The sequence below is a fragment of the Homo sapiens genome, chromosome 9 (genome assembly GCF_000001405.40).
Source record: "Homo sapiens chromosome 9, GRCh38.p14 Primary Assembly".
Taxonomy (NCBI): domain Eukaryota; kingdom Metazoa; phylum Chordata; class Mammalia; order Primates; family Hominidae; genus Homo; species Homo sapiens.
Window position 1 is genome coordinate 77,556,138 of NC_000009.12, and position 14,747 is coordinate 77,570,884.

The following is a 14,747-nucleotide window of genomic DNA, read 5'->3' on the forward strand; positions in this document are numbered from 1 at the left end:
GGAGGCTGAGATGGGAGAATCGCTTGAACTCAGGAGGCGGAGGTTGCAGTGAGCCAAGATCCCTCCATTGCACTACAGTCTGGGCGACAATGTGAGACTCCATTTCAAATAATAAAAATAAAGCACACATAAAATGCGTTCACAGTTGCATATCTACAAAAGATATGGAGAGTGAATTCAAACACATCATGGCAGATATATGGAGGTAGATGCTAATGGGGTGGGGGCAGAGATCATGAGGGAAAAAGAGGGGCCATGACATGATACTGATGAAAGCAATCCATTCCTGACCACTGAACCTGGAAAAGGCTTTTTGAGTTTCAACTTACTGGATCAAATGTTTTAGAAAGGAATAAAATGCATTCATTATAAAGCTGAATCATTCCAGGCCACCACCAGGGCATCACAATACGTCTCCATGTTTGAGTCAGCAAGTCCCAGAACCCAGCTTTCCTCTTCCTCACAGCCCAGGCCACTCACAACTGTGTGCTCAGAGTTCTCCCCCTCCTCTCTCACTCCTAATCAACCCCAGGTTTCCCAAATCAGAAGCTTGCTTGGAAATTGCCTTGTGCCACTCACTAATGTGCCCTACCACCACCCCCAGACACACACACATCCCACAGCCCCTTTTCTTCTTAATCATGGTAACCTAGCATGGGGTTAGAGTTAAGGCACAGTTAAGAATGTATCTTTGGCAGGTACAACTTCAGCCGTTTGGGGAGGATGCACTTTCTTTTTGGGGACAACTTCTTTGAGAGCCTCTGGCACTTTAAAGATACTAATAATTTTACATTTAGAAGTTACAAAATCAGTACAAACAGGAAACACATTTATACAAGAAAAGACATTTTTCCACCCCACACAGCATGGGTTACCACGGTTAAGAAGAAATCATTCTCAGCCAGGCAATGACCTTCTTGCAGCCCTTCATTTTGAAGTGAACTATGGCCAAAATAAGAACAAACCCGGGGGTCTAAGGGTGCCCCTCCACAGCAGCCTTGCCCTGGGCTGACACCAAGGAGGCATGCACTACATGCATATACGGAATAAATGAATTAATGAATAAGTGAATGAGAAAGAAGGGAGAATGGGAGAAAGAGAAAGGGACAAGAGAGGAAAATGGAAAGAAAAAGATTAGGAGAGAGAAGCAGCTGACTCCGTGAGGCTATGGTGAATTGCCAGAGCCAGACACATATCCCAAATTTATTATTCCTACGAGCAATTATGATCCAGTGGGAAAGTAACCAGAATGCAGTGAAATCAGTGAAGACCACCTTGCTTTTTCCAGTATTTTTATGTTCTAGGACAAGTACAGACATTTTGCTGTGCACTCTCATTCTGATTACTCGAACAATATTTCATTAAGAACAACATACTGGTTAGCTGGGGATATGAATGGCCCACGCTTGGGAAACTTTCTGGCAGAGTATGAAACTATCTTTTCAATAACTAACAAAAATATGATAGAAAAACAAGAGATGGTCTGAATAAATGCTATAAGGAAGAAAGCTAAGTGTAAAGCTGTTCTGCTCCAGTGGAACAAGGAGTGCGGTGGTTAATAGATGATTACTTCATGGGAGCAAATGACACCATAGAAGATTAAGTAACCTTTAGCATTCATGACTAGACAATCCCTAATCAAGAATGAAGAGGAAAAAGACACTTTCTCAAAAAACGGGATCATTCGCATAATGTTTTTATATTAGCTATTTATGACCATATTTTTAAAGAGGGAATCTGAGCAGCCCTTAGGGATTATCTTACCCAACCCCTTCATTTTGCCAACAAGTTCAGAATGGCTAAATGAGCCTTTCCTCAGGCCTCATAGCCATTTAGAACCACAACCCTGGAAGAACCCCAGCCCCATTTTTACAAATGGGACCCTGTCCTCTGAAATCTGTCTCAGTCTCCCAGCTTTCTGGGGATTCAGTTGGAAAACATAAACATATTTAAAAAATAATTCTTAAGACAATAGAGGATATTTAAATATAGATCAGAAAATATATAATGGAAATGTTATTAATATTCTTAGATGTGACAATGTATTTTGCTCATATAGAAGGGTTCTTAACAAAGAAGCATTTGGAGGTGCCTTGCCATGAAATCTGCACTTTCACATTGTCCAGCAAAACAGAACAGATAGATCAGATAGATAGATAGACAGACAGACAGACAAATAGATAAGCAAATATGGCAAAATGTTGACAGTTACTAAGTTTAGATGGCAGAGAGGGGGAGTTCATTATACTATTGCTTCAAACCTTTATTTTGAAGATTTTTCATAATAATATACATACATTTTTGAAAATCACTCTTTTAAAGCATTTCAAAGTTTGAGTAGTAGTCTTAGATCTGTATACCCAGCTGCTCAGACACCCCATATGACACAGCAAAGCCAGACTTCTAAAGGAGGGAGATTTACGGGGCTCCCAGATCGTACATCTAACCACAATGACAGCAAAATCACTTCTAGAAAATGTATCTAGGGAATGGTAGAAACCAGATGAGGTTCTCCATTAGGTATGATGAAGACACCTTGGACCCATGTGTCACTGTGTGCCATTCTTCCCATAAAAGGCTAGGGTGGGGTAGAGACTGGGGCCTGCCTTCTGTATAAAGTCAGAAGAAGCCTCTGAAAAAGTATGACAGATAATAATGATTTTCCAAGAAAGACTGCTACTGCCTTTGTTTACTTCCGTATTCTAAAGAAGCAATTTCGAAACACCTGATTCAGAGTTGTATCTCTTCTAGCAAGTACCATTACTGAAAAAAGGTGTTAAAAAACAAAAAACAAAAAAAAAAACAAAAAACAAACAAACAAAAAACCTCCTCCTGAGAACCTAAGCAGGATGGGGCTAAATATTTAGGTCTTCTCCATCGTTGGCTGGCTTTGTTTTTCCTCTTCCTTTTGAGCATCTTCCTTTTGAGGATGATTTAAAGCCTGTTGCTCTCACCACTTTGACATAAACCAGAGGACCTATCTTTTCTCTGGATTCTTACCTGTGACACCACAAATTTCTTATTACTATTAAGAAATGCCTCTTGCTTCCTGATTCCCATCAATTAACTGTTCAAAGTCCAACTGCTCAGAAGGAGACCAACTTCCCAGAGGCATCTCCTTGGAGCTTGGTCCCAAGCTCCACCTTTGACAACCAGCACAGCTCCTGGGAGGGCTCTGGCTGGGAAGTAGCTCACTGTGCTTGCCAAATATGGGGAAGCTCAGACAATAAAGGTGCAAGTGAGATAAAGGACTGGGGGAGCTGAAGACAAAGGACGGGGCATCCCTTCTGGGCCAGAGGACATAGGGAAGAAGGGCCAGGGTGTCTACACCCTGACACTTTGATGGAGAAGATGAAGAGGGCATGCTCCAGGAGAAGGGCACAGCTTACCACAGGGCATGCAGAAAAGAAAGTGCATGTCACAGAGTGATGGCAAGCATGGGTGTGCAAATATGTGCAAGCTGGCATTAAGGGAAGATGTTCTTTAGATCTGAGCTTGGTAAAGTGAAAGAAGTGGTTAGTCCAACAAAAACAATTTCCTTGGCCATTTCTCCCCTTCAGGTTTATTCACAAAGAAAGCACCATTTAAGAAACAACCTGATATATGTGCATTCCCCTTTCCCAATTTACCTAATGAATAGTGCCACATAAACAAATGGTCCTTCCATCCTTTTCTTTGGAGGTGCAGTCATGGCTTAATAGGTTCACATTTTCAAGCTCAGCTTATAAACTGTTGAGCTAAACCTACAGATAGAAAATACTTCAACCAGGCGGTGGTGAGTATACCCTTGTTATGCGACATACACCATTGGCTTTAGACCAGAAGTTGATTCTCAAAATATTAGGTATGTAATCCTCACCCATGGCTACCCATGAGAATTACCTAGCGAGCTTTAAAAAAACTATGTGATGCCAGAGCTTGCCCCTAGAAATTTCCATGGTTATTCAATTATTCAGGTTTGCGAATTACTGGGAAAGGGCTATAAATTTTTCACACTTTCGTTTTTTAAAAACTCTATGAATATAAGTAACAATAAGCCACACTATATTTAAGGAAAGTATATAAGTTTTATACGTTAAAGCAGAAATAAACTACTTAAGACAAAATTAATTACTTAATAGTTTAATTAATTTTTTTTCCTCTCCAGTCTTTTTTTTTTTTTTTTTTTTGAGGTGGAGTCTTACTCTGTCACCAAGGCTGGAGTGCAGTGGCACGATCTCAGCTCACTGCAGCCTCTGCCTCCCAGGCTTAAGTGATCCTCCCACCTCAGCCTCCCAGGTAGCTGGGACCACAGGTGCACGACACAGGTGCCTGGCTAATTATGTTGTTTTTTGTTTGTTTGTTTGGTTGGTTTTTTTTGTAGAGATTGGGTTTTCCCATGTTGCCCAGGCTGGTCTTGAACTCCTGAGCTCAGGCAGTTTGCCTGCCTTGGCCTCCCAAAATGCTGGGATTACAGGTGTGAGACACTGTGCCTAGCCTGCTCCCCTGTCTTAAAGGGAGGATGTTTTAACTTTCCTCACCAATTTTATTCAAGGTAATATCACCTTACCCTGGTTCCAACAGCTACTTCAACAATGGATTCAGCTAGCTTCCTTTCTATCTTGAGTAGCCAAAGCACAGAACTTTGCAGAAAGACAATGCCTAATGCCTCACCTTATGCCTTAAATGAGGAGTTACTTATTTTCTATTTCCTCCAAGTTAAGGGAATGGTGGAAAAAAAAAAGAGTCCTTTATATTTTCATCCAAACAAAAGTCTCCTTAACTTTTTTCAAAAGAATAGACCCATTCCTCCTGACTTCTTAAGCTTCACTTTTCTAGCTGACATCTAGCTAAATGGAAATGTAGACCACATAAGACCGTCCTCTTCAGACAAGTCTCTTGGCCATAATCATAATTCTCAAATGTTTGAACAGTCCCAGTGTTTTCACTACAAACACTAACTTAGGTCAGAATTTTTTAAAAGGCTTTTATATAGGAATTGAATCAGGCTTCACAATTAAGGTGTCACCAGGTACCTATTAAAATGCATTAAATTGTCCCCTCTAGACCTCTACAGACCCCTACAAGGCTGAACCAGGAAATAAGGATGGCGTGTGGCTAAGTTTATCTATCACACCTGGTTTTAATCTATCCCATTCTGTGGGTCAAAATACCTTCCCAAACCAATCAAACTAATTTGTTCCCTCAAATGAACAAATCCATCTTTAGAGGCCGAATAAAGGATAAGAAATATTTTAAAAAAGAAGAAGAGTGAGAATCAGAAAAGCCACTATAAAATGCCATGCAAGTAATGTCAGGGTTTCATAGTTTCATTGTTTTTATCCATTAACAGATGACTAGATAAGCACAATGTGGTATATACATACAATAGAATTTCATCCAGCCTTAAAAAGGAAGGAAATGCTCACAGATGCTACAGTATGGATGAACCTTGAAAATATTTGCTAAATGAAATAAGCCAGACACAAAAGGGCAAATATTATATGAGGGGAATGGAGAGTTCTTATTTAATGGATTTAATGAGTTGCTCCTTGGAATGACAAAAAAATTTCTGGAAATGGACAGTAGTGATGGTTTCACAACACTGTAAATGCACTTGATGCCACTGAATTATACACTTAAAAATGGCTAAGAGGGTAAATTTTGTTAGTTAGTGCAAAACCTAGGAAGCTAGAAATTGATGACATTTTCCTTCAGCTGACTAATTACTACATCAACACACAAAATCTCCATTTCCTCTTTTCCTGGCCATCTAGTTTCTACCAGTCAAATAAGGTATTAAAAACGGTCTTAGGAAATCTCTCCTCTTTTGCTTCACTTCACTTTCTCCCTTTTTGGGGATAAAGCCCAAAAAATCTACCACTGACTTTCTTTGAAGTGTCAAAGTCTGAAAGGAATATGATAGGTTCACAATACGGATTAAGAAAACTCAGGAATCACTTTCACACATCTTAACAATGGGATACTCAGATGGGTAGCATGAATGCCTTTGTACTCGAGGCCTGAAGATATACCAGCCCTTCTCTCATGGAAATTATATGAGTCAGCAAAGCATATAATCATCTGTGATTTAAATAAAGTTAGGAAGCAGTGTATGATCATGTTTGAGCAGAACAGCTCAGTGCTATGGAAAGTCTGGGGAGAAAGAAAGTAGCGTCTGCAACGTCTTAACAGGGATGGAACAGCTAACGTAGATGAGGAATGAGGATTGAGAGCAAGGAGGGTATTTGGAGAACACTTACAGGGACAGAACCCAAAAAAATGATCATGTATGGGGCAGGAAAGGGACATGAAGGAGAGCCACCAAGCTAGAGTAGGGGATTTATTTTAGGAAGTAGAAAGTAACATGAAAATGGGAGGCTGATCCAGTAATCTATGTGATGAAAAAGGGAGGCTGATTCAGTAATCTATGTGGTAAAGAGGAAGTGGTTTCAATGATTGAAAATGGGTCTATTCATACGTGGTAAAAGTCCCATGGGCTGGAAAGCACCTATTAGTTACTGAATTTTGCTGGAAAATTTACAACAAAAAAATTAATACTTGTTTCATACTTGATTTAGCCTGTATTTTCAACCTTCTTGATATGATAACCTAAAAGTTTGAACATGTAAGATCAAATAACTTTATGTTTAAAATTTTGTTTTATTTTTCAAAATGAAATTCCAATTAAGTCATCCTCTACCCTGATCCCTAGTATTTACTATGAAATGCTGGGTCCCATTCCAAGCCAACTCACTGTAAGTGGTCTTTTCCTGAATAGATCATCTTCAGATCATGGGGCCTCCTATAGGTCTTCATTAGTTTATTCCAGCCCCAGCCAGCATTAGATCCCAATATCAGATTTCTCAATTTCTGGGAGCAAACATAGGTACCCGTTATTAAATTTCCAGCAACTTTAGAGTCTGTATAAAACCAGTCTGGCATTTGTGTTGTTCACACAAATGTAATTCAGTGGCAGGGGATTAAAGGCTCAAAACCCCTCACCATGCACTGCTGCACAGCAAATGTAAACCCAGGAGCTAAAACCAAATGAGAAAGAGATTCATCAAGCCAGGGAACACCATCAGCTCAACAATGAAACCTAAGGCAGATCCATTTTTCTCTTCAGAGCTCATGCTGTATATTATCATTAGGAGGGAGGTACTGAATCTTTTGCCTTAGGATCTGAATCTGTTTCCATGGTGACAAGAGAGTGGGTCTTTAAACTCCAGGACAAATGAATGAAGCATTCACTGAATCAGGCAATTTCTGGTTATTTTCAAAGCTTAGGAAAACACAGATAATGGCTGTAAGTCTTGCCAAACACTGATTTGTTTCATTTTTAAGTACAGAGGTCAATGATGGAGAAATGTAAGAGAACTGCATTCCGAACCAATATTGACCCTAGGTCAAGTATAAAATATGCCTGATTCTTCATAGGGCTTATCATGTAAAAGAAAATTATGTTGGCTTCACCTCAGATGGCACTAACACTGTAATTGCCATGAATTCAAGCAGAACATAGAAATAGGAGAAACTGGGCTGCTGTTTTTTTAAACAAGATTTTTTTTTCCTTTCAGTTCAATTGAAGTGTTGCTTTCTAAATACCAAGGACAGTTAATCTCATGCTTTCAAATGGTAACAATGAACCCAAGAATCTAAGAGAATAACTTTTTAAGTCTAGAATCCTTTTTTGGACTCCCTGTTAGACAACTTCCTATGGAGCGCAATTTGGGGTCTTGAAGCATTACATGTTTGTTTGTCAGAGTTTATCCAGAAGACCAGCACTACTTTTACAAGCTCTCTTGACTAAACTTGTCATAAAGTTGGATGGCAATGGATTAGGAAGTCTTGTCTGGTACACCACCATTTTTGCAAAAAGATGTCGACTCCATCCCTCAGCTCGTTTGATCTATTTTAACTTTAAAATATGGATCTTCCCTTAGTCAACAACAGAAAACTCTCACCAGATAATATGCCTCAAAGGACCTTCCACCGGATCCTTATCAAATTCTCTTTGGGAGTCTACTGGTAATTGTTTGAAGGACACAGTCTATTCCTTTCTCCACATGTGGTTCTCAATCCTGGCCACACTTTGGAATCATCTGAAGAGCTTAAGATGGAAGTCTCCAGAGATTTTGATTCAATTGATCTGCAGAAAAGTCCAGGCAGCACAATTTAAAAAAAAAAAAAAAAAACTTATTTTTAAGAGACAAGGGATCTCTCTGTCGCCCAGGCTGGAGTGCAGTGTCAGGCTGCATACTTTAAAAAAGCTTCCCTGGTGGTTCTGAGGCACTGCCCAGGATGAGAACCATTGATACCCAGAGACTACCAGGATGGCTAGACCTAATGAGCTCACTTTTTAAAAGCATTTATTATACAAGTTATATATGAATACATTTCTTTTTATTTAAAAAGTTAAAATATTATGGCTGGGCATGGTGGCTCATGCTTGGAGTCCCAGTCCTCCCTTTGGGAGGCGGAGGCGGGCAGATCACTTGACGTCAGGAGTTCAAGACCAGCCTGGCCAATATGACAAAACCCTGTCTCTACTAAAAATACAAATATTAGCTGGGCATGGTGGTGTGTGCCTGTAATCCCAGCTACTTGGGAGGCTGAGGCGTGAGAATCGCTTGAACCCAAGAGGCAGAGATTGCAGTGAGCTGAGATTGTACCACTGCACTCCAGCCTGGGTGACGAAGCAAGAATCTGTCTATTAAAAAAAAAAAAAGTTAAGATATTACAATTAAATCCTTCTTTGGCCACCTGCCCTGCTTCCAGTCCAGGGGCGTTCTTCCAGGACTCATTCTGTTCATTTACATACATACGTATTCACAGATATACTGGTGAATATACACATCTATGAAAATACAAATACATTTCATTTTTCAAAATAATTTTAACATGTTTCCTACTGTGCATATTGTTCTGCTGCTGTTTTCACTTAACAGTATGCCTCTGAGTGCTTTCCATGTTGTAGTTCTCTGTTTTATTACTTTCAACTACTATATGGCATTTGTATACATGTAGTACTTGAAAGTATTTCTTCTGAATCAAAGTATTTCTTTTAAAATGCCATTCCTGTAAATCTCTGCTGTCCAGTATAGTAGCCACCAGCTAAACGTGGTTACTGAGTATTTGAATGAGACTGGTATGAATTGAGATGTGCCAGAGTGTAAAATACAGACCAGATTTTGAAAACTTAATACTAGGGGGAAAATAATGTAAAATGCCTTATTAATAATGTTTTATATTGATTACATGTTGAAGCAATAATATGTTTCATATATTGGGTCAAATAAAATATATTTAAATCAATTTCACCTGTTTCTTTTTACCTTTTTTTAAACTTTATTTTTGAGACAGAGTCTCACTCTGTTGCCCAGTCTGGAGTGCAGTGGCACAATCTCGGCTCACTGCAACCTCTGCCTCCTGGGTTCAAGTGATTCTTGTGCCTCAGCCTCCCAAGTAGCTGGGATTACAGGCATGCGCCGCCATGCCTGCCTAATTTTTGCATTCTTAGTAGAGATGGGATTTCACTATGTTGGCCAGGCTGGTCTCAAACTCCCTGCCTCGAGTGATCCTTCTGCCTTGGCCTCTCAAAGTGCTGGGATTAGAGGCGTGAGCCACCGTGCCCAGCACTTTTTACTTTTTAAATGCAACGATTAGAAAATATGAAATTACTGATGTGGCTAACATTGTATTTCTATTGAATGAGTCTGCTCCAAATAATGGGCATTTAGGCTTCTTACAGTTCATCTGAAATCAGAAGAAAAAAAGTGCCACAGTGGACACTACTATACATCAGTTGTTCTCAATGGGATGCTATCTGGCAAAGAAACACTCTGGCCACAACTTAGAGGGGTAACTGGCACTGAGTGGAGGCCAGGGTTGCTGTTAAACATCTGGCAATGCACAGGACAGTCTCTCAAAGCAAAGAACTGGCTGGCCCCAAATATCACCGGTGCTGAGGTTGAGGTTGAGAAACCCAGTTAAGCATAAATCCTTGTCCACAAGTGGGAGTGCTTCTTTTTTTTTTTTTTTTTTTTTTTTTCTGAGACAGGGTCTCACTCTGTCACCCAGACTGGAGTGTGGTGGTGCAGTCTTGGCTCACTGCAACCTCTGCCTCCCAGGTTCAGGCAATTCTTGAGCCTCAGCCTCCTGAGTAGCTGGGATTACAGGCGTGTGCCACCATGCCTGGCTAATTTTTGTATTTTTAGTAGAAACAGGGTCTCGCCATGTTGGTCAAGCTGGTCTCAAACCCCTGGCCTCAAGTGATCTGCCCGCCTCAGCCTCCCAAAGTGCAGGGATTATAGGCGTGAGCCACTGCACCCAACCAGGAGTGCTTCTTAAAGGTAGATCTTAAGTCATGGAATTGCCTGTGCTTTTGAAATGTTCATACACAACACCAAACTGCCCTTCAGAGTGGATATGCCAGTGTTGTCTCCCATCAACAGGACAAGAGAATATTCAAATTAATCTTTAAAGAACAAATAAATAAATCCAGCTAGAAGAGTTTGAAAGGCTTCAATATGTCCACTAAATATTATAAGTTTGTACAACCACCAACAGGAATGACAATACAACTCTAAGTCCTAGAGTTTTAAGTAATATTTGGAAGTTTTAATCTACCCTCACCCTTTTATGAAATGTCTTTTATGATCCCAGAACATAACTCACTTTGGGTCCTGGAATTGTTAATTTATAAACTAACTGACCAGTATATCTCTCTGCTTTTCAACTGTGGCCAAAATTTGAATCTCAGGAGAGTGAACTTCAATAGTCTCAAATGCTACGCTAATTAAAAATAATAATAATTATTTGTATTTGCCATATACCCAGGGCCCCAAAGCTCTATTTTCCCAAAAATACTGCCCTTGGAATAACCTTCATGTGTACTAACTGATAACACAAGTCATGTGCCTGGGCCCAGTATCTGTTCTCAAACATACTGCATATTTATTATTTAGAGATGATCCTGCCAAACAAATCAGCAAGTAGAAATACATTATATATCTAAATCTGTTATGCAAATCCAGAGGTACACTTAATATAAAATGTATTGCTCCCATATATTTACATTTTACCTAGTCTTTAGGAAGCAAGATTATTGACCTACTCCAATTTTCAATTTCCATGTTCACAAAAATGCAAATTTTCACTAACATGATTCATGTTCCAAGGTTTTTTAATGACATATCAATATAAGATACTCTACAGCCATAACCTCTTTAGGTAAATTCTAACCCTTATCAGTCTCCTCTGCTGTGAACTTCCAATAAAGAACTAACTTTAACTATCATCCTGGAGTGAATTTGAATCCTGAATTCATTCTCAGTATGCAGTATAGCAGGCAAAATAAGATGAGAGCTACAAATAATTACAGTTAATTCTAACTAGTCACCATTTTCTTCCACAAGTTTTAAAAAAAATGCTTGTGGGGCAGTTTTCCAGGGTAAAGATATTCCGGCTGGGTGTGGTGGCTCACGCCTGTAATCCCAGCACTTTGGGAGGCCGAGGTGGATGGATCACCTGAGGTCAGGAGTTCAAGACCAGCCTGGCCAACATGGCAAAACCCCGTCTCTACTAAAAATTCAAAAATTAGCCAGGCGTGGTGGTGCACGCCTGTAGTCCCAGCTACTCAGGAGGCTGAGACAGGAGAATCGCTTGAGCCCAGGAGGCGGAGGTTGCAGTGAGCCAAGATTGCACCACTGTACTCCAGCCTGGGTGACAGAGAGAGACTCCGTCTCAAAAACAAAAAAACAAGTATTCCATTATGGCCAGCAAAAGTTTGTGATAATGTTCACCGTATCTTGTTCTAAAATGATATTTATTGACTTGCCTATGTTTGGCCCAAAAGATTCTAAATAATTTGTTTTACAGAGGTAGGGAGGAAGAGGAGGAGGAAGGAAGACTAGAAAGAAAGAGGTGGGGTGGGTGGTAAGCTCCCTGAGACAGAGTAGTCTTTCTTGTTTATCACTTTACCTGCAGCTCCCAGAGCAGGTCCTGGCTCACCTAGCATAGCTCAAATACTGCTTAAAGAATGTTAACTGGCCAGGGGCAGTGGCTCATACCTGTAATCCCAGCACTTTGTGAGGCCGAGGTGGGGGGATCACTTGAGGTCAGGAGTTCAAGACCAGCTTGGCCAACATGGTGAAACCAAAAATTTGGGGGCTCAGATATTTCCAGTGGGAATGTAGAATCTCCCTCTACTAAAAATACAAAATTAGCCAGGGGTGGTGGCACATGCCTGTAATCCCAGCTACTCGGGAGGCTGAGGTAGGAGAATCATTTGAACCCAGGAGGTGGAGGTTGCAGTGAGCAGGGATCATGCCACTGCACTCCAGCCTGGGTGACAGAGAGAGACTCCATCTCAAAAAAAAAAAAAAGAAAGAAAGAAAGAAAGAATGTTAACTATTAAAAAAGTTACCCAGGTAAAAAAGTATACAAGTTAAATCCAAATTTTGATTCAGAAATGCAAATTCGGATCTGGCAAATCTGTGGCATGGAATCTGCTGGTGGGGACGGCAGAGCCCCTCACAACAGTTAACCTGAGGAGGAAAGGCTGACTGGGCTTTCCTGGGTGCACAAGGTGGTACAGGGATGGTGAAGTCTCTCGGAATTTACAGGGGGGCACTCCCTGGGTTAGTCCTGCTCATCAACCACAGAGCTGAGGAGCAGGCTGCAGAGGAGATGGGGCTGCCTTCAGCAAACCCCCTTCAGCTGGTCTTGTGGAGGGAGCAAAGATACAATTGAGACAGTAAAGTCGCACTTCAGAAACCCCTAATGGGATGCAATTTGGAAAGAGACTGTCATGCCACGTCTGAGATCAGCAGGTGTCTCTGCTACTCGATATTTTCAGGTGGATCTCCAAATCAGACAAGTTTTTCAATGCCCAGGCAGAAAGAGCTTTCTATTTAGCCCAGCTTTGATGAGAAACCCAAGTCCCATATGTGCCTTCTCTTATTCTGTTAAAGAGCTCCGCCACCCCAGATGCATTTTAAACTGAATCTCCAGCCTCATGAATCTCTTTTGCCTTTTTTTTTTTTAAATGGGGTTGGGAAAAAAAGGTTCCCTCCCCGCAGAAGGTGTGTTGAACTTACTCTTGCTATTAATATATGTTTCAAGCATGCTCTTCCCTTGATCCTGGTTGTGACATGGTAACTAGCAAGGGGGGCAGGGGGATGCAGTCCTATTAGCACAGCAGTATAGGCAGAGAGATCATTGGCATTTGGCCAAACTTGGTAACTCAAGAAGGAAAATACTGCTGGATGTGCTGCAGCTACTCCTCTCCAGTGCTGGAGGGGCCAGAACTGTCCTGCCCAACAAGTTTCCCGAGGACCTACTATGTGTTGGGAACTGTGAAATGGCTGTGAACAAGATGGACACAGCTCCTGCTCCCCAGGAGCTTACAAAACGGTCAGAGGGAGACAACTCCACAGGAGACCACTCGGTATAGTGAGTTCCACCAACAGGGGCTGCTCCAGGGAGGAATTAAGGTGGAAAGAAGAAAGAGCCCAGGCTATGTGGGGGCTTTGGTTTCTCCCCCGGGTTCAATATTTCAGGGGCTGTGTCTGCCCCTGTAAAGTGAAAGAGAGAGCCATCTCCTCTTGGAGGAGGGTAGTAGGGATATGTTTTTCTTTTCCTTTCTTTCTTTTTTTTTTTTTTAAGACGGAGTTTCGCTCTTTCACCCAGGCAGGAGTGCTGTGGCACAATCTTGGCTCACTGCAACCTCTGCCTTCCAGTTTCAAGCAATTCTCCTGCCTCAGCCTCCCCAACAGCTGGGATTACAGGCGTGTGCCACCATGTCTGGCTAATTTTTGTATTTTTAGTAGAGACGGGGTTTCACTGTGTTGGTCAGTCTGATCTCGAACTCTTGACCTCGTGATCCGCTTGCCTCGGCCTCCCAAAGTGCTGGGATTACAGGCATGAGCCACCACGCAAAAATCATGGAAGCGAAAATGTCCACACATTTTAGGACCAAGAATTGTATTTCGATTAATTTTTGTCATTATTGTTTGTTGGAGGAAGTTAACTTTAAACTAAACAAATAAATATATATTAACTTAATTCTAACACCATTTCCCCCAATTTTAACAGCTTTATTGAAATATAATCAACATACTATCAAGTTTACCCATTTAATGTGTACAATTCAATGGTTTTTAATATATTTACTGAGTTGTGCAAGCATCACCACAATCTCATTTTAGAACATCTTATCATGTTTTAAAGAAAGAAACCCCAAAAGAAACTTTTTACCCATTAGCAGTGACTCCTTGCCCCCACCACTGCAGCCCAGGCAACACTAATCTACTTTGTCTCTTTAGATTTGCCTATTCTGGGCATTTCATATGTGGAATCATGCAATATATGTGTTTTTTGCATGCATAACTGGCTTCCTTTATTCACATAATTTTTTTAGGTTTATTTATCTGGTAGCGTGCATCAGTACTTCATTTTTTATTGCCAAATAATATTCTATTATGGCTATTCCACACATTTTGTTTATTTTTTCATCAGATTATAGACATTTGGGTTGTTTCCACTCTTTGGCTACTATGGATAATGCTGCTATGCACATTCATGTACAAGTTTTGTGTGGATATATGTTTCAATTCTTTAGGTGTATACCTAGGAGTAACCTTGCTGGGTCGTATGGTAGCTCCATGTTTAACCTTTTGTGGAATTACCACAGTGTTTTCTAAAGTCGATGTATCATTTTACATTCCCACTGGAAATATCTGAGCTCTCAAATTTTAATGTTT

The 14,747-nt window shown here is 40.7% G+C and overlaps 1 protein-coding gene across 1 annotated transcript in view; it reads right to left on the reverse strand.

Moving 5' to 3' along the window:
• GNA14 (G protein subunit alpha 14) overlaps positions 1-14,747 on the reverse strand; it is a 225,244-nt gene that overhangs the window by 133,059 nt on the left and 77,438 nt on the right. The window lies entirely within an intron of this gene.